This window comes from Homo sapiens, chromosome 16 (assembly GCF_000001405.40).
Source record: "Homo sapiens chromosome 16, GRCh38.p14 Primary Assembly".
In the NCBI taxonomy this organism is placed as follows: Eukaryota; Metazoa; Chordata; class Mammalia; order Primates; family Hominidae; genus Homo; species Homo sapiens.
The window spans coordinates 17925752-17947336 of NC_000016.10; the positions used below are offsets into that span (position 1 = coordinate 17925752).

Genomic DNA, 21585 nt, shown 5'->3' on the forward strand with positions numbered 1-21585 from the left:
CCTTTTCTCCACAGCCTCACCAGCATCTGTTGTCTCTTGACTTTTTAATAATAGCCAGATTCATGAAATTTTCAATGTTTAGATTTTTTTCACTCTATAAGAGCACAGTGTTTGAAAAATTAGAAATTTAACACATAATATGTAAATATGGACATTTGCAACTCGAAGCACCGAAACAGTTGCTATGCAACAAAACGGAGCAGCGAGCGAGCCATCACAGTATGTCATTTGTCACACTCAGGTGATGGCATATTGTAACCCAACTGTTAGAACCATGCTGTTTATAATTCGGTAACTATACAGCCACAACTACATCATTGAAGTTAGTAGCACCAGCTTCAAAATCAAGCAAACCTGGATTCAAATTCTGCCTCAGAAAATTTCCTACTACATAGCTCCTGACTCTTCTTCCAATAATTCTGTGAGGCATGAGTCTGGAGGTGAAGAGGTGAAAACTTCTTCCAGTTCCAGTCTAAATGGCCTTACTCGGAATCTCCTCATTTTAAATCTATCCCTAAGCACCACAAGGTTTAGCATCAGTTCCAGTGGCACAGGCAACACAGAAATTATAAATAAATACATTCTTCAACTAAGCCCCTCACACCCGCAGCCACCTTCTCCAGCTTGTTGAGAAATAGCAAACAAGAACTAGATACACCACACCGAGTGGCGTGGATATTGGATAGTGTAGCCAGGATCTAAAGTGCTTTTCTTGAACAAGACTGTCAAGGGGCAAACAGGCATTTACTTATTTTTGGGTTGTGCGTGATTGACGATGCCACTCTGAGGCCCAGGATTCTCATTTAACGCCCCTCAGGCATCCAATTGTTTGACAGGCTTAAAACACATGAATTCTATTTCCAAAGACAGAGACAGACATCAGGGCCCTCCTACCAGAGCATGTGGAAGAAAGAGCAAACAGCAAAAGAAACTCGCTAGGGAGGGTGAGGCCATGGACAGCTGCCGCTGCATTTGTTTTAGAGTGTAAGCAAGAAAAATGCTCCTTTGACATTTGAAAACTTTCTATATCCTCCCCTGTAACTGCCAAGCTATCCCAGACTTCCTCACCACAGCTCCAAATGCCCATATTTTTCTTCACTCCTGGATATAAATGTGACTCTCTTCTCTTTATTATAAGGCAATGAAAGGCCTCCAGACATAGTTACTGGCACTACTGGGACCCCCAGATGGTTTGCTGGGCCAGGAAGAATGCCGTGTAGCAGTGGGGAGGTAACAGGTTCCTTCACAAGAAGCCACCTGCTCATAATTCATTCACACGCTTTTCCTCTGGGCAAAGCAACAACAATTTAAAATAGTCTAACGTGGGCCTTCCTGGAATTACAAAAATAGGAGTGCATCCAGATTTGAGGATTGGTTGCCCCCTCTTCTCTGGTGCCACCCCAGCTGGAAGACTGCCAGGAACAGGTTACGGAGTCTCTTTAACAGAAATGGAGATTAGCAGGTGTTAAAGACAGATTAGCAACTAAATGAGTTTCTCCCTGTCATAATCAGTATTCAAAGAGGAAGGGTTTCTAGTTGGGCAGCTGCTAGGAGTCTTTTCTGACAAGAAGAAATTTGCCTGGATTTGCCAGGCTTTAGCAAACTCAAGATATCAAAGTGTAAAGGTAAGCCATAAATGAAGTTTGTAGCAGGCAGGCACTTGGCTAGAATGTGTAACTGAGATAAAATGGGGTCACAGCACGTTTTGTTTTCAGGGCACTTTCTGGGGATGGGAAGGGAGAAGTTCCATGTTTGTGCTTTTTTTCCTGTGGACTCAGATGCTGACTCTAATTCCAAGACTCCACTGGTTCCACGGTGCTTTCTTTTTGCACCCTTAGATTTGGCCATCAGTCTGGAGGGCAGAGGGAAGAGCTTGAACAGGCTTGGATGAAATAATACTGTCTTAGCCAGTTTGGGCTGCTATAATAAAAATACCGTAGACTGAGTGGCATAAACAATATACATGTATTCCTTGTGGTTCTGGAGGCTGGGAAGTCCAAGATCAAGATGCTGGCAGATCTGGGGTCTGGTGAGGGCTCTCTTCCTAGTTCGCAGACAGCTGCCTTCTCACTGTGTCCTCTCATAGCTGAGAGGCCAACGTGGTGAAATCCCATCCATACTAAAAATACAAAAAATTAGCTGGGGGTGTTGGCACATGCCTATAGTTCCAGCTACTTGGGAGGGTGACGTGAGAGCATCACTTGAACCTGGGAGGTGGAGGTTGTGTGAGCCAGGATCATGCTATTGCACTCCAGCCTGAGTGACAGAGCAAGACCATCTCAAAGAAAAAAAAAAGAAAAGAAAGAAAGATAATCTCTTTTGTGTTTCTTCCTATAAGAGCATGAATTCCATTCTTGAGGGATCCACTATCATATCCTAATTGTCTCCCAATGGTCCTACCCCCTAATACCATCACAATGGGTTAGATTCCAACATATAAACTCTGGGGAAACTCAAACATTCAGTCTATAGCAAACACTATGACAGCAAAGTATGCTGTAATAGTCAACTAGGCTTTTAGAGAGAAAGAAAGAAAACAACTATTTATTAAGCACCTACTATGCGCCACCCACTTTACTAAGCTCTTTCATTATTTTATTTTAATCCAAAAGACCCGGTCCACATTAGAAGATCTGGCATAAGTGAAACTAAAGACAGATTGAGTTGCTTATTTCTTTCCTTCCCATGGTTTTGTGTTTCCTTCTTAATGTTGTTTTGAATTTGTTTGGGCTCAAATTATATTACACCCTTGTCATCTCCATTAGCTAAAATGTATTTATGGCTGATTATGCATGCATAAAATAAATTAAATATCTGAATAACATTACCAGTAATTGGTGAAATTGCCTTATGTTTTCACATCCTTACAACAAAAAAGGCATCAACAAATGACCAGGAAAACAAAAGGATAATCCATTATAATTTTCCTTATTAACATAGTGATAGGACAGACACAATTATGGGCAATTTCAGTGTCTAAAAATCAAGTATGATGAAAATTATATTGAAGTTAACTAAGAAAAAATTACTTTAGCTATTGCTCCAAACCAACTGCTAGTCAGGATGAAAGAAAATAGCCCCTACTTAGAAAAATCAGCCACTGACTTAGAAGTTGACACTGAATCTTTTAAGTTTCTACAAACTATAAACCATAGCTGGAGTGTTCATTTTGATTTGCCTGGGTGATTCTCCATGATATGGTTTCCCTTCAGACACCACTGCTTTATTGGTGAATCATTTATGCTGATTTAGAGAGATATTCTAGTGTTTTTCTTTCTAAACACATAAGTACCACCTTCAGCACAGCCTGGTATTTAAAAATATATGTGTGTACCCACACACAAGCACACACAGGATCAAACCAGCATAATCATTTTTTGGGCTGCTAATTTGTGTGTTTTGATGGTGATGTGAATTTAAAGTATTTGATAACCATAAAAACCATCATGGCATAGGTACTGACCAACGGAGAAGGATACCAGCTGTGACATTAGAGCAAAGTACTAGGACCCCTTTTGTGCAAGACCAGGGGATCACAGTAACTGGGGTGCACCAGGAAGCTGCTATTTACCAACCAAAATGAAAGTCTTTTAATCGGTTAACAATGGTGCAACCATACCAGGGTGTCACAACTAAATGTCAGTACTATACACACACACACACAGAGAGACAGAGAGAGAGAGTGAGAGACAGAGAGAGAGAGAGAGAGAGAGAGAGAGAGAGAGAGAGAAAACCCCAAGGAAGGTCTGGCCTCTCCCTTGACCTCTGTTATCCCGGTGGTTTTAGTCAGCATCTTGCCAAATGGACACCCCATAACAGTACACTCCTGTAGGGCTCTGGCAGGTGACATGGCAGTCCAAACCAATGGTCATTTCTACAAGGACACCCCTTCTCTTTCAGCCCTGACACCTGGAAAACCAGTCTTATTCACAGAACATAGTAGTTGGGACCCAAGCACGGGTACCACCACTTAGATTTTAAAAGCCAAAGATGTGTGAAGTTTGAAACAGACAGAAATGCTCCAAATCCACCCAAGGGAATCTAAAGAAGATGATCTATCTATCTGTCTGTCTGTCTGTCTGTCTATCTATCTATCTATCTATCTATCGATTGATCGAGAGATGTGGCAGGGCCTGTATCTCAAGAGAAAGAGAATCCTTTACCCCATCAAAGTGAAATTTATAAAGAACAGATCCAAACATGCCTTTCCATTTCTCAAAATTCTTTGATGGCCAGCATCACTGATCTTTTAATATGGTAGAAAAGGGACTTCATAATGGAGCCTCACCTTATTTCTTGCTGCCTTAACCCTACATTCAAGCAATAGTGAACCATTTGTAGTATTGGAAAACATCATGTTATTCTATACCCAGACTTCCATTTCACTGGGTGGGCAATCCATTGCAACCCACATCATAAGTCCTGGAATTGTTTGCTAGAAATCATCCTAGTTGCCTTCATCCAAGTATCCTGAGTAACACAAGGCTTGGCACATAGTAGATCCCAATAGTTTTTGTTGAGTAGATAATTCAGTATAACCAGGCAGTTCTGAAGAATAAAATATGGCAGGCACACTGTCACAGATCTTTGCCTGGGAGAGATGAAGACATGTTCAATGTATTCTAAGATCACAGGATCAAAAATGAACAGAGGTTAAAAACAAAAAGACTGACCACTTCCAGGAGTGGTGAAGACGAGGAGTCATTAGAACTCTCATACCCTGCTGGCAGGAATGTAAAGTGGCACAACCACATGGAAAACAATTTGGCAGCTTCTTAAAAAGCTAAACATATACTTACCATACCATCCAGCCATCCTAGTCCTAGGTATTCACTCAAGAGAAGAGAAAGTATATGTCCACAGAGATTTGGTACACAAATGTTCATTGAAGTCTTATTTGCAATAGCTAAAATATGGAAACAATTTAGATGTTTCCAGTAAAACAACTGGTGAATGGATAAACAAATTGTGGTACATCCATACAGTTAAACACTTCTCAGCAATAAAAAGCAATGAACTATTGATACATGCTACAAAAAGGATGAATTTCAAAGTAATGATGCTACGTGAAGGTAACCAGACAAAGAAAGAGTATGAACTGTACGATTCCATTTATTCATAATTCTAGAAAATGCAAACTAAGGATAAAAAGCAAGCTAGGGCTTCCTGAGAATGGAAGAGGAAGGGGTAAGAAGGAGATATTATAAAAGGGGCATGCGAAAACTTTTGGAAATGATGAGCATATTCACTATTTTGATTATGATGGTTTTGAGGGTGTATAGGTAAGTGAAGATGCAGCTAACTCTATACTGTATGTGCTATTTGTTGAATTTCAATTATACCTTGATAAAGATATATAAAAGTAAATAATAACTGAGCAAGGCATATGCTTTACGAGAAAACAGTCATTGTGGTTTGGGGAAATCACAATGAGACACTAAGAAGGTAATGGGAACACTTTGACTTTGGAAGTGTAAGTTAGAGATTAAGGGTGGCATTTCAGAAAAGGAAAAATATAAGAAAAATGTCTAACAGTCAAGACTGTCCAATGATAAAATAAACTGGCCTTGGAGGTAGTGAGTTCCTAGTCCCTGGAAGTATTTAATTTGATGACCATTAAATAGCCCTTGAAATGGATTCTCGCCCTGGTTGGCCAATTATTTTCTATGAGCCCTAAGATTCTTTTAACCTCTGATACTTACTTGTTCACCAAGAAGACACTGGCAGGGAATATTTGCTGGTAGCAAACTCCCTGTCACCGATGCTCATGAAAACAACCATTAGGAATTTTCCTCAAGAATAAAAGAAGTGAAAATAATTCAAAGGCTTGGGACTTCAAAGAAGTCGAGTTGAAAGGAAATCAGTTCTTCAGATATAGGAATTACTAGTGAGTACAAAGAGAAGAGTGAGCGATGGAGCTTTGGGGAGAGGGCGGCCGGGTGGCTGAAGTCTGGGTGTGAGAATATCAGGGAGGGGAGTAGGCACTGGGGTTTAGAAAACCCAGGGGGTGGCTATAAAACACAGAACTGGAGTCGTGAGCAGGGATTGGGTGGCTCGGGTCTTGGGATGCTTCCTCACAGATGCTGTCGGACTTGCTGTGGAAATAACTTCCCAAATAACAAAACATATCCCTGTGTTCAAAAACTTCCAGTAGCCTCCTGTTGCACTTAGAACACCATTAAAATGATTTACCAGGGCTACAGAGATACTGCTAAGTGAAAAGAGCAAGATGCCAATAAATGGGTAACAAAAATGCAACGGTTTTAAAAACAAAGATAATGAAAATTCTTTTACCACGAATGTGTATTCTATCTGAGCATTTTGCACAAGGGTATCAGTCTGGATTATTAGACTGAATTAAAACTTCTCCTCAAGCCTGGCCCAGGTCCCCAACAAGCCCCACTCTGGCATATGGCACTGCTCTGAGGGGGAGACAGGGATAATTGCTGGAAGCAGAGGGTGTCCGAAGAGGAGCAGTTGTGACCCCCACCAGCCACCTGGATGAAGCAATTAAACAATTGACTGAGTGAATCTAACAAATGCCAAAGGGATGAAAATTGATTTGGGTAAAAGACAAATGAGGTCAATTTCCTCATTTCTGAAAACCAAGGTGAGAGTTAAGGACAGACCCTTCCCCAGATTCCACATTTCTTCCTTAGTCCATAAAGGAGAGGATATCGCTCTTGTCTTGTGGGAAGAAAGCTGCCAACTCTTTTTACCCATGAGTCCTCCCCAAGAAAAGAAAGGATGAATGTAATTGCTCAGAGAACAACACTCACCGGAACATGGCTTACTAAAGGGCAGGGATAGGGTATTGCAGGGTTAGGGCCCGCCACTTACCACTTTCTCTTTGCATACCTCCCAGACACCCCCCTTTCTCCCTCTTCAGTGCCCTATAGGCCTGTGGGCCTCACCCCTCGATGGCTATCTCAAAGTCAGACCTGACCTGTAAGTCAATAGTCTTTGGCAGATGTACAGAACTGAAATTCGAATGGCGAGGATGGCAAGAAAAGCTGGCAACTTCTATGTACCTGCAGAACCCAAATTGGCGTTTGTCTTCAGAATCAGAGGTATCAATGGCGTGAGCCCAAAGGTTCGAAAGATGTTGCAGCTTCTTTGCCTTCGTCGAGTCTTCAATGGAACCTTCGTGAAGCTCAACAAGGCTTCGATTAACATGCTGAGGATTGTAGAGCCATATACTGCATGGGGGTGCCCCAATCTGAAGTCAGTAAATGAACTAATCTACAAGCGTGGTTATGGCAAAATCAATAAGAAGCAAATTGCTTTGACAGATAACGCTTTGATTGCTCGATCTCTTGGTAAATACGGCATCATCTGCATGGAGGATCTGATTCATGAGATCTATACTGTTGGAAAACACTTCAAAGAGGCAAATAACTTCCTGTGGCCCTTCAAATTGTCTTCTCCACGAGTTGGAATGAAGAAAAAGACCACCCATCTTGTAGAAGGTGGAGATGCTGGCAACAGGGAGGACAAGATCAACAGGCTTATTAGAAAAATGAACCAAGGTGTCTACCATGATTATTTTTCTAAGCTGGTTGGTTAATAAACAGTACCTGCTCTCAAATTGAAAAAAAAAATAGTCTTTAACTTGGTGAAGAAGGTGATATGGTTTGGCTCTGTGTCCTCACCCAAATCTCATCTTGTAGTTCCCATAATTCCCACGTGTTGTGGGAGGGACCCAGTGGGGGATGATTGAATCATGGGGGCAGGTCTTTCCCATGCTGTTCTCATGATAATGTGATAATGAGTAGGTCTCACGAGATCTGATGGTTTAAAAAACAGGAGTTTCTCTGCACAAGCTCTCTTTTTGCCTGCTGCCATCCATGTAAGATGTGACTCACTCCTCCTTGCCTTCCACCATGATTGTGAGGCCTACCCAGCCACGTGGAACTGTAAGTCCAATAAACCTTTCTTTTGTAAATTGCCCAGTCTCGGGTATGTCTTTATTAGCAGTATGAAAATAGACTAATACACAAGGAGTAGGAGGCTAAGATCTGTTTCTACTCATAACACTTCTGACATCAAATGTGTGGGTTTTTTTCCATACCAACACCCAATGATCCAACTCTTCAGACAACCAACTGGGTGTCCAAGGACCCAGTTCTAACACCAACTACCCAGAATTTGCATCAGACCCCACAGGTTAAGGGCTCAGTCCCACAAGACTGCTCCCATTTCAGATGCTAATTGCAAGTTCTAGGTCTCCTGTACTTCTAATAGACCAGCTATAAATAAGGGGTTCCCCCACCAGCACCCCCATGTTCAATGGTTTGCTATGATGGCTACTGGAACCCAGGAAAAACCATTTATTTACTATTACTGGTTTATTATGAAGGATACAAATGTACACCAGATGAAGAGGCACACAGGGTGAGGTCAGAAGGGTCCTCAGCATGGAGACATCTGTCCCTGTAGGAGTTAGGGTGTGCCACCTTCCTGGCACATGGATGTGTTCAACTCAGCAGCTCTCTGAGCCCATCCAGTTTAGGGGATTTCATGGAAGTTCCATTACATAAGCATGAAAGATTAAATCACTGGCCATTTGGGATCAGCTCAATCTCCAGCCCCTCTCCCCTCCCTGAAAGTTCCAATCCTCTAATCACATGATTGATTCCTCTGGTGATCAGCCCCTATCCTGAAGCTAGCTAGGGGCCCACCAAGAGTCACGGCATTTGCATAAACTCAGGTATGGTTCAAAGTCTTATTAAGAGTAACAAAAGATGCTCCTCTCACCCCTCTGACTCAGAAAATTAAAATGGTTTTAGGGCCTCTCTGTTAAGAACTAAGGAAGAAGATCAAATATATATTTTTTCTTCTATCACAATATCACAGAGGGTCTACTCAGCCTCAGGCCTAGCCATGTTCCCAGTCGAGGTTTGAAACCCTTCTTTGCAACTTGAAACCCTGCTTTGGAAGTGTTAGGGGTGGGGAGGTGCTGCTTTGTGTGGAAGCTCCTTTGTCAGAATCCTGGAAGGGAAGAAAAGGGACTGGTAGGATTTGTCCGCCATGAATTCTTAGATAGTAAGAAAAATTAAAAGGATGATACAAAGGAAGTAGCAAATTAGTCTATGCATTAAAATTGGCCTTAGACACTCTTCTGTCTTCTGATAGCAACAGCAACACCACCACATGCCACCATGAGGCACATACTGTTATCCCCTTTCCACATATGAGTAAGAGAAAACAGAGTTAAAACAACTAAATATCCTGACTTGATCATTCCATGACTGATCATTCTAGGCATGTTACAAAGTCTCACATGTACCCTGCAAACATGTGAAATAGTATGTACCCATACAAGAAAAAAAGTTCAAACAAAAATTAATTAAAATTTCTAAATAAATGTCTAATTAAATAAGTAACACAGTAGAGAACAGTGGGACCAGGTAAGTTCCAGAGAGTGTTTATCGTTGTTGCTGTTTTTCTTTGTGTTTTTGTTGTTATTGTTGTTGTTGTTTTTTGAGACGGAGTCTCGCTCTGTCGCCCAGGCTGCCTCTGTTGCCCAGGTTGGAGTGCATGGCACAATCTCGGCTCACTTCAAGCTCCACCTCCCAGGTTGACACCATTCTCCTGCCTCAGCCTCCCAAGTAGCTGGGACTACAGGCGCCTGCCACCACGCCTGGCTAATTTTTTGTATTTTTAGTAGAGAACGCGTTAGCCAGGATGGTCTCGATCTCCTGACCTCATGATCCGCCTGCCTCGGCCTCCCAAAGTGCTGGAATTACAGGCGTGAGCCACCGCACCCGGCCTGTTGCTGTTGTTTTTTAAGACAAGGTCTTGATCTGTCACCCAGGCTGGAGTACAGTGGCACCAACATGGCTAACTGCAGCCTTGACCTCCCAGGCTCAAGCAATCCTCACACCTCAGCCTCCCAAGTAGCTGAGACCACAGGCACGTGCCACCATGCTTGGCTAATTTTTTAATTTGGTAGAGTCAGGGTCTTACCACGTTGCCCAGCCTGGTCTCAGACTCCTGGGCTCAAGTGATCCTCCCACCTTGGCTTCCCAAAGTGCTGTAATTATAGGTGTGAGCCACCATGCCCAGCCCCAGAAAGCTCTTACTTACTGCACTATTCCACCTCTTTGAATGCATGAAGGGATGTTCTAATTATTATTATTATTATATTATTATTATAGTTTTGAAAGAGAAAGACACTAAACTAAGGAGGCCCAGTGGCTTATCTAAGCCAAAAATAGTCAGGGAAGTGCAGAGAAGGCAGTGTGGTGTAGTGGGTAGCACTTGGGACTTGGCCCCTGAGGATCAGGGTTCAAATCTCAGTTATACCATGAGCTTCATCCCTTCATCTGGGAAACTGAGCATCCTGACAAGGTTCAGACAAGATCATACACATACGAGCACTTCATGCATGCAATATTATGTCTGGAAAGCACAGACTTTGTATGTAGTGGTTTCTGTTGTCACAGCTGACCAACCTTGAGTTGACCCAGTGGTTCTCCACCCAGGGTGGTTTTGTCCCCCAGGGGACCCCGGGCAATGTCACAATTGACATCCAGTGAGTAGAGGCCAGGGATGCTGCCAAATATCCTACAATGCACAGGACAGCTCCCTGTAACAAAGAATCATCCAGCCCAAAATGTCAGTCGGACCCAGGCTGAGAAACACTGGTTTGGAATAAATCCATGGCATTTATAACAATTCGGGAGTAGAGTAGATGCTCAATAAATATTTGTTGAACATATGAATAAATAAATAATCAAGTTCTGCAACGTTGCCTACAACGTGGTTATGTGAGAGCAATGTTAGAGTAAGTAAATGGGTGGTAAATAAGCCAGCAAGACTGAGGGATAGGCAACATCCTTGCTACTCAAACTGTGGTCCAGCAGCTTCACCATCATCTGCACACCTGTTACAAACGGAGCATCCCAGGTTCCATCCCAGACCTAGTGAGTCAGAATCTGCATTTTAACAATATCCCCAGAGAACTCATAGGCACATTCAGGTTTGAAAACTACCATCCTAGAGTCTGCATTTGGGGGCAGGTTATATCCAATAGCAGCCCTAGTTCCAACCGATTAGTGCAGAAACTAAGGCCTCTTTAAGATCAGTTCTGCTGAATCGTCCCTCTTGGCTATAACCCAGCTCTATCCACAGGTGGTATTTCCACCTGGATACTCTCCATTTGGATAAAGAAGAACATGTCCCCCAGGCACTGAGCAGGGCCTTCTCTCTCTTTGTTCACAAAGTAGAGCAGTGAGTATAATGAAATATGGCACATCATCAATACCCCCTATGCAGAAACTGCACGGGATGCTACAGCTGAAAGATTCCTTGAAGAGGAAAAGAAAATGGTATTGCAACTTTTATTTGGAGCTTGATTACTTCATTGTCTTTTACCCTCCGGGTGAAGGGGCAGCCAAGAAAAACAAATTCTGCATGACGCTATGAGCTCGGATCCTTGGTTCTGAATGCTGCTCAGACTTTGTCCTGTGGCACCAGGAAAGGAAAAGAGGTGCTTTGCATCAGCCACAAAGCCAAACATTTCCCCCAGTCAGGATGATCATATTCTTCCTTCAACTACTAACAGGTCATCAGAACTCAGTATTTACTGAGCATTGACTAAGTACCATGGCACTATTCTGAGTATTTTACATATATTAATGCATTTAGTACTTACACACCCTATGAGGTAGAAACTACCAAATTCTTCATTTTATAGATAAGGAAGTTCATGCATAGAGAAGTTAAGTAACTTTCCTGAGGTGAGATAGCTAAAAAGCAAGTGGTGAAGCTAAGACTGGAACCCAGAAAGTCTGGCTTCAGAGCCAGTGTTCTTAACCCTTCAACCCTACTGTTTACATTTTAGATTTTATAAGAATAACTAAGATGAAATCTCTGCTCTGATGGAGTATTCAGCCTGGTAAAGGGAGACAGATAAACAGATACAACACACATATCAGGCATTTAGAGCAAAGACGTACTGTTGTCTCCGTTTAGTACCACTCGTATTATATCTCTCATATTATTTGTCCTTATTTATGTGTTTGAGACGGAGTCTTGCTCTGTCGCCCAGGCTAGAGTGCAGTGGTGTGATCTTGGCTCACTGCAGCCTCTGCTTCCTGGGGTTAAGTGATTCTCCTGCCTCAGCCTCCCAAGTAGCTGGGATTACTGTCATGCGCCACCACGCCTGGCTAATTTTTGTATTTTTAGTAGAGGTGGGGCTTCACCTTGTTGGCCAGGCTGGTCTTGAACTCCTGATCTCAGGTTATCTGCCTACCTCGGCCTCCCAAAGTGCTAGGATTATAGGCATGAGCCACCCTACTCAGCCTATTTGTTCTTACTCTAATTTGACTCAATGATTTAGAATCAACAAGCATGTTATAACATGTCAGGTACATACTAGATAGTCATTAAATAATAGTTGAGAGAATGAATAAATAAAATAATTAATGGCCAGGCACAATGGCTCATGCCTATGATCCCAGCACTTTGGGAGGCTCAGGCAGGAGGATCACTTGACCCCAGGAGTTCCAGACCAGCCTGAGCAACACAGCAAAAACCCTGTCTCTACAAAAAAAAAAAAAAAAAAAAAAAAAACACAGAAAAATTAGCCCGGGATGGTGGTGCATGCCTGTAATCCCAGCTACTCAGGAGGCTGAGGTGAGAAGATGACCTGAACCCAGGAAGTCAAGGCTGTGGTGATCTGTGATCCCATCACTGCACTCTAGCCTGAGCTAGATGAGATGAGAGTAAAACTCTGTCTAAAAAAATATATAATAATAATAATTAACAAATGAACATGGTCCTTCAACATGTTTTCAAGAAAGTAAGGCGCTATGTATGGCAATAGGCTCTTAAAGGAAATACCTGCTTTTTACTTTCTATCCAGCACTACCCCCCAACCTCCCTCCTTAATCTGTGGAATTGCCTCTTTTCCCAGTTCCTCCCATGTTCTTCCCACTGGAGCTATAATAGCTTTGCATTGCAACACCTCTGGCCTTAGCTAACTGGCCATGGGTGAGCTCCTGCCAATGAGTTATCTTCTTTGGGAATTTTGGAAGCAGGAGAAAGAAGATCAGTACAACTTTTCCAAGTAGTCAAAGCTGTACAACGAAAAAAAAAAAAAGATATCTGTTGGTCGCCACATTTTCTTTTTTTTTTTTAATTTTTTTATTATACTTTAAGTTCTAGGGTACATGTGCACAACATGCAGGTTTGTTACATATGTATACATGTGCCATGTTGGTGTGCTACACCCATTAACTCGTCATTTACATTAGGTATATCTCCTAATGCTATCCCTCCCCGCTACTCCCACCCCACAACAGGCCCTGGTGTGTGATGTTCCCCTTCCTGTGTCCAAGTGACCCCAGGAAGGCAGCTCGTCTGTATCCCAAGAGCTCCATAAAGCTTTATGCTAATATGCAGCTAAGAGCCAAAGATGAGAGATGGAGAGAAATTACTTCTGACATCGTTCAAGTCTCTGTTTCCAGACACTTAACCTCTGAGGTTTCATTTTCTCTTTCATAAAACGGAGAGAGTGTGGGAGGATTACATCCTGCAAGGCTACAATCCTGCTGTTCAAGGAAGAGGGGCTCTAACCAGGCAACCATGTCCAAGTAAGGGGAAAGTTCACTCACTCCCCTCTATTCAAACTCAGAGCCTCTAGCACCAGAGTAAAACCAGTTGAAGCAAATTCCTTTTGAGCTTGAGCTCCACCAAACAGCCCTCTAATTCTAGAGCACAGATGATATGCCCTGACTGGTGACATGAATGGGTAAGTTTCTGTAATGGGCATCTCATGTTTCTCATGAACAAAACGGCATGCTAAATTTACACAACTGGCCTCCTGTGTCTTCGGATGCCATGAGCCCTTTCTCAGGATCTGCTCACCAAGAGGGGCTCAGCATTCAAATTTTGCTCCCATAGGGCTGAAAGAGCACACTCACTTGGCTTATTCATACCAAGCATCTAGCATCTAGGAAGATGGTTTCCAGACCCATTACAAGGCTACGATGCTCTTCACTGAAGAAGCACAGTACCATCAGTGAGTTCCAAAAGCACATCATGGCTCATTGCAAACAGCCCTTCAGATTCTCTAGATATCTGTTTTTCACATCTTGCTCTGAACATCCTCGGAGGCCACTGAGAAAAAGGAGGAAGTTTAAATGAGATGGCTCTTCTGCAGGCTTCAACCGCAGCAGCTCCATCTGACATGCTTTAAATATTTCAGTTTTGCATATGTCATGTGATACATTCGGACATTTTCTATTTTCTTTCTTTTTTGAGACAGGGTCTCACTCTGGTCACCCAGGCTGGAGTGCAGTGGTACAATCATAGCTCACTGCAGCCTCAGTTTCCTGGGACTTAAGTGATTCTCCCATCTCAGCCTCCTAAGTAGCTGGCACTACAGGTGTGCACCTGTATGTTGTACACCACCATGCCTGGCTTTTATTTATTTTTTTTGTGTGTGAAACGGAGTCTTGCTCTGTTACCCAGGCTGGAGTGCAGTGGCACAACCTCGGCTCACTGCAACCTCCGCCTCCTGGGTTCAAATGATTCTCCTGCCTTAGCCTCCCAAGTAGCTGGGACTATAGATGCGTGCCACCATGCCCAGCTAATTTTTTGTATTTTTAGTAGAGATGGGGTTTCACCGTGTTAGCCAGGATGGTCTCGATCTCCTGGCCTTGTGATCTGCCCACCTCGGCCTCCCAAAGTGCTGGGATTTCAGGCGTGAGCTACCACATCTGGCCGCTAATTTTTATTATTATTTTGGTAGAGACAGGGTCTTACTATGTTGCCCAGGCTTGTCTTGAACTCCTGGGCTCAAGCAATCCTCCCACCTCAGCCTCCCAAAGTGCTGGAATTGCAGGCGTGGGTCACCATACCTGGCCCTACTTTATTTTTTTTTAGAATAGAAAAAGCAGCTATGGCCCACAAAATTAATATCATGATCCCCTAATGGGCCCCAACCTGAAGTTTGAAAAGCATTACTCCGGCATGCCCACAGAACACGTTCCAGCTGGGATTTGCATCCAGTGAATTCATTAGGTCAAAGGTTACCAACCAGTTCCCACAGAGAGCAAGGGTCCTTTGAACTTAAGCCCCACATGACCGGCTAGCATAATGTTAGAAACAAATCCTAGAAATTTCATCTCCAGAAGCTCTAAATGGAGACATATACATTCTAAGACTCTAGCCTTGCTTGGGGAGAAAAAAATAAATAGAAGGTTATGTGGCACAGTGTCTGTATTCCCACACAATTGCAACTAGCAGGAGCGGAAGTAGATGTCTGATTCCCTCTACTCTCTCCCAAAATATAAGTTCTGAATGGTAAGCAATCCCAAGACCACGTGGTCTCACCCCAGGGCCTCCAATTCCATCCACCTGCCAAGCCTCCTGCTGAAAATCCCCTCTCACCATGGATTCTGCAAGTCTGGCCAGCTGTCCTTTTGATAAATGCCCTTTGCTAAGACGCAGGTCAGTGTAATTTTCCAAAAGGTTAGGAGGAGTGACTGCTCAGAGAGGGCTCGCTTATTATTTCAAATGTCACCTATCCCATTCTCTAACATTTACTGAGTTATTTACAACTTGATTCTTGCTGTACCTGCCAGTATGTCTGACCTGCTCCAGTCTCTCCTCTCGTCACTGTCTCTATAGCCCTGAAACAGGAGCTAGAGACTAATGGCCTTGCCTCTGAAAGCCAGGGTGGTTTCTAACCTAAGATAGGGAAACCACCCTAATAGGTAATTTTTGCACCAAGTCATGCCTTAAACGTCGATGAAATTCACCTGTTTTGAGGCATGCATGGTTGTTGATTGTTTCCATGGGGCTGCAGATGTTTAGTCCATTTTCAATTTGTTCAGCCAGATTAAAAACCCAATACTAATGTTTAAACTAGCAAACCTCAAAAAGACTTCATTCATTTCTCCTCTAAATAATATGGGGCATTTGTTTGGGTCAGTAATTTCAGTTAAAGAAACTTTTTGGGGACAACTATTTATCCCATACGCCTGTTGAAGTTATAATAAAAACAGTAACAATCATGATAACATAAATGTCTGTCAAGTATTCAGTGTCTACTATGCACCAAGCATGATGCATGGTATTCAGCCTTTGGCTATATATAAATATATACCGCTAGAGAGAGTTTTATATATAGTTATATCAGCGGTCCCCAACCTTTTTTTGGCACCATGGACCAGTTTTGTGGAAGATGATTTTTCCACAGACTGGGGTCAGCAGACAGGGTGATTGTGGGATGATTCAAGCGCATTACATTCATCATGCACTTTATTTCTATTATTATTACACTGTAATATATAATGAAGTAATTATGCAACTCACCATAATGTAGAATCAGTAGGAGCCCTGAGCTTGCTTTCCTGCAACTAGACGGTCCCATCTGCAGCGAGACAGTGACGGGGCATTAGTTTCTCATCTAGGAGCTCGCAACCTAGATCCCTTGCACGTGCAGTTCACACAGGGTTCCTGCTCCTACGAGAATCTAATGCCGCCACTAATCCGACAGGAGACAGGGCTCAGGTGGTGATGCCAGCAATGGGAAGCAGCTGTAAATACAGATGAAGCCTCGCTCGCTCGCCGCTCAACTTCTGCTGTGTGGCCTGGCTCCTGACAGGGCACAAACTGGTACCAGTCTATGGCCTGGAGGTTGGGGACCCCAGGTTTATATGGTCATACATAGTTAATATTAGTTATATGTATAGTTTTATATGTATTGTTATGGTTTTATATATACATATGATCATTTAACTCACAACATCTCTGCAAGTTAGATATCAGATAATTATTTCCCCTTTACAAATAAACGAAGGCTGAGAGCTTCAGTGACTTTCCCAGGGCCACTCACTCATGATCAGAGCCAGGACTAGATTTCAGGACTGTCCGTACTTTATACCCTACCCACTGCCTCTCAATCATTATACCAGGAACCATCACTTTGGAGCCAGCATCTATGCCCTTATACACATCAAAGCACTGAGATTACTCAACAAGCCAACTTTGAAAATTACCTTTGTCATGAGCTTTCTTTTGGTCTAGAATAAGAATTCTGGAACTTGAGTGAATCTAGCCTCCTTCTTCCCACAGGACCAGGAGATCTTGGTCTCATGGCCTAACGTCGTTGAATAGCTTGACACTGGAATTAGATTAACCAGGATTTGAATCCTGCTTTCCCCATTTACTGGTTACAAGATGTTGGGCAAGTCACAAAACCTCTCTGAGCTTTAGTTTCCTCATCTAAAAGAAAGGCAAAAGCTAATAATTTCTGCCTCATAGGATTATGGTGTGGAAAAAGTGAGGTTCTACATGTAAAGCTCCTGTGGCTGGAGCTGTGATAAATAAATGTTAGATACTGTCATAATTAACTATCTGAAGGCTGCTGCTTCAGGAGCTGTTAGAGCCATCTTACATAGCTTCATTCTTACAGACTGAAATCTGTAAAAATAGATCATGATACCTTTACATTATTGGGACAAAGTTTTTACCCTTCATCCCACCCTATCCACCACCCACAATGCCACCACCCCCTCCTCCTCCTCTGCGGAGAGAAGCCATCCTCCAGGCTTTGAAAAGTGGGGAAATGAAAAGTTGCAGAGTTGACCCAGGAAAGCCCCAGGTTGTGTGTCCCAGGCTTGTCCTAAGAGGTGTCACCTTCATCTGCTCTAGGACCTTCTGCTCCTCAGCCCACATTGGTAAGCATTTCCAACCCCTATTAGACTTACTCTGGGGTCTTAAAAATATACATTTCACTGATTTTACTGCGCATGTTCTTCCCTGCCTCTTCTTCCTCACATGCCCCTTCCTCACTTTTGTATCTAGGATAATTAGGTTATATTTTGACCTACGAGTGCTCAGACCTAGCCAGCACTATCTGCTGCATTATCTGCATCACCATCCTGGTTCAGAACCAAGTGTGGGCTGGAAGGAAGGACTTCAATGCTCCCATCCCAATAAATACTTATTTTCTGATCGTAACACTCTTTGTGAAACATCAGATCTATACTGGTTTCCTAGGGCTGCCATAACAAATGACCACAAACTTGGAAATTTAAAGCTTCCAAGAAAGAATGCTTCCTTGCCTCTTCCAGTTTCTGGTGGGTCCAGGGATTCCTTGGGTTGTCTGTTTTCTCCTCTCTGCGTCTTTTCCTTATCTGTCTCTTATAAAGACATGTGTCATTGGATTCAGGTCTTTCCCTGACAATTAGGATGATCTCATTTCAAGATCCTTTACTTTGCTGAACAGAGGTTACTAGAGGGTGGAAAGGGTGGGGCGGAAGGTGGGGTATAGGTATATTGTAAAGGATATAAAATCTCAGCTCAGGAGGAATAAGTTCTAGTGTTCCATAACACTGTAGGATGACTATGGTTAACAATAATATATATTTTCAAATATATATCCAAATAGCTGGATGAGAGGATCCTGAATGTTCTCAGCATAAAGAATGTTTTAGATTACGGATATGCTAATTACCGTGATCTGATCACTATACATTGTGTATATCAAAACATCACTATGTATCCCACAAATATGTACAATTATGTGTCAATTTTAAAAAATGAATAACAAAAATATTCTTAACTTGTTTACATCTACAAAGACTCCTTTTTCAAATAAATTAACACTCACAAGTTCTAAGTGGGAATATCTTTTGGGGCCACCATTCATCCTATTCCAAGATCCTAATGAGTCCCATGAGACCTGTGGCATGCCTTTCTTTCAGCATCCAGCTCACCTCACTCCTTCACCAAAACAATGCCAAGAATGAGAGAAAAGCTTCCATTCCATTCCACAAGCCAGATCTTCCCATTCCATTCCCAAACTCCACATTTTGCAGAAACCCAACCCTGGTAGAGGGGGTTTGGGGAGTGATATGGGGAAATAGAATAAACTTCCAGGAATAAAAAGGTCCCCTGGTCTCCTCCCTAAGTCATCGGCTTCCTATGGAAAAAGGATCACTGCATGGGACACGCTGCCCATCCCATTATTCACTCTCTCCAGCGAGGCCGAGGCTGAGGAATAGGCAGAATTTGGCACTTTCCAAAAAACATTTAATATTTACCTTCTAGGAACAAAATTTACATTTTCAGATAAATCTAGGAAGTGCTGAGTTAAATAAATTCAGGCAGGTTTCTCTATTGCAGGACTGGAGCTCTCAATACAATATACTATGAATAGAGGTAGAAACAATTTGCATTATTTCCTAAATTTACAAGATCAGAGAACCTGTTTATTTGTGAGGCATCTGATGGCCTTAGTGTTCTTCCAAATACACAATGGGAGACTCTGGTGTAGATGATTCTATGCAATAAGTAGCTGTCAAGCCATCAGGGACATGTAAATTAAAACTACAAAAATACACCTCTTTACACTCACTAGGATGACTATAACCAAAAAGGCAGTAACAACCACAATTGTATTGGTGAGGCTGTAAAGCAACATGGGCCCTCATACTTAGCTGGTGGGAATGTAAAATGGCCAGTTGCTTTGGAAAAAACTTGGCAGTATCTTAAAAAGGTCAAATTTACCTATGACTCAGCAGTTCCCACTCCTAAAAATACGACATATGTGCACACATAAATGGTTATATCAGCTTACTCATAATAGCCCCAAACTGGAAAAAACCCAAATGTTCATTCACCGGTGAGTGGATAAATAAAATGTGGTATATCCATACAATGGTATTATTATTAGCTAGTAAGAAAAAGGAGTGAAATACTGACACATGTGTGAACCTCGAACACATTATGCTAAGTGAAAGAAGCCAAACACAAAAGACCGAATAGTATATAATCCCATTTCTATAAAATGCTCCAAAAAGACTCATACAGAGAGACGACAACTAGGTAGTGGTTGGCAGGGACTGAGGATGGATTAGGGATTCACTGTAAATGGGCATGAAGGATTTTACTGAAGTGATGAACGTATTCTAAAGCTGAATTGTGGTGATGGCTGCATAACTCAGCAAATTAACTAAAAATTAAATTGCACACTTAAAATGGGTGAATCTTGTGGTAGGTAAACTACACCTCAATAAAGTTGTTTATAAAATGTGCTATCACGGATGGATGAAATAAAATCGTATTAACCTACAAAAGATACCTATCAGGCTATTTTCTCAGCCCTACGCTTGTCCAAATGAAGGTGCTGAGCAATCAGCTTTGGAAGTAAAGTTTCAAGAACCAGGTTTGTCATCATAGTTGGGAAAGTTGAGCAAGCTGCATAAAGTACCTAACCATGAAACACCTACCTGTGTTTTGAAGGAGGCATTGAGGTATTTTCTATTGAAGGATATCCCCCATATGGAGGAATTTGCAAACTGAAAACACTTGTGATGAATCCCTAATTTCACTCTGTACCCTGGACAAAACAAGACCCAGCCCATAGAATTTATTTAAATGGTGGAATTGATTAGAATTCCAGGACCAATGCGAGAGAAGTTCTAAGGGAGAGAGATTGGGCTCTTTGATCTGCCTGGTTCCACTCTGACTTCATTCTAATTAGCAAAGCTTTTGAGGCAGACTGATAAGCATTCCGGGCACCGCACATGTCTGGCCACTGGCTAATTAATTAATTTTTGACTTTGAACAGTGACACTTAATTTGAAAACTTTCTACCATCCATGGATGAACGTGGAAAAGTAGGGCAAAAAGATGTAAAAATATGCTAAAGGTGCCATTTCAAATCCAGCTGATTTCCAAGAGGGCAAAATGGGTCAGTGAGTTAAATAAAGAGATGGACTGTGGGGAAGGGACAGGGGAGGGTGTGCTATGCCAGCTCTGCTTCTGCTGTGCTGTGTGTGTGGGCTTAGCCATCGATCCTCTCTGTTCTCTCAGTGTTTTCTCAGTCATTTTATTTGAAAATTAGGCGTCTCCTCGGCACCCTCATTTATTGAGAAATGACTGTGTGCATTGCCCATAGAGAGAAAAGGGGCAGAAAACAAAAACCATTTACAGAGAGGAGAATAGGAGGGTGGACAAAGCTTATAACTGCGCAGAGAGTTTAAGTGAACACTGTTCAGATCAGAGGTCTGCAAACCACATCCCAAAGGCCAAACCAGCCTCCTACCTGTTTTCATAAATATAATCTTGTTGAAACACAGCCATGCCCAATTTGTATATACGTTGTCTAGGGTTTTCATGCTACTATGGCAGAGCTGAGTTGGTATGACAGAAACTGTACGGCCCACAAAGCAGAGAATATGCACTCTGTGGCCCTTTGCAGAAAATGTCTGTCAGCCCCTGATCTAGATGGAGTCAGAATTATGCCTTCTTGGTGTAAGTAACTAAAGGGACACCCAGAAATCTTTTTTTTTTTTTAATCTTGAAAGCGCTTCTTTTTCTAACAAGGAGGGAGCTAACGTTTTTCTTAGCACCTCTGTGTGGCTGGTGCAAGGGCCCTTTCTCAAAGATTAGCCTCATCCCAAATCTTTGAAGTAAAGATGAACATGCTTATGTCAGAAAAGGCAACTGAGAAAGCTAATAACTTACCTGCAAGTTACAGAACTAATGTTTAAACCAGACTTACTTATCTGCAATATGATGCCTCCCTGCTATGTCAACATTAAGAGGAAGATTTTGGCA

General features: G+C 42.4%; 1 long non-coding RNA gene and 1 pseudogene across 1 annotated transcript in view, besides 1 other annotated feature; one reads left to right on the forward strand and one right to left on the reverse strand.

Moving 5' to 3' along the window:
• The window catches only part of LOC107984893 (uncharacterized), a 111412-nt gene that overhangs the window by 64662 nt on the left and 25165 nt on the right, over positions 1-21585 (reverse strand). The window lies entirely within an intron of this gene.
• On the forward strand, positions 6966-7644 carry RPL7P47 (ribosomal protein L7 pseudogene 47; annotated as a pseudogene).
• Positions 14240-14329: an enhancer, noted in NCBI's record as "active region_10515". NCBI's record gives its function as "activates an Ori minimal core promoter by ATAC-STARR-seq in GM12878 lymphoblastoid cells {active_cell/tissue: GM12878}" and the evidence as "EXISTENCE:reporter gene assay evidence [ECO:0000049][PMID:35858748]".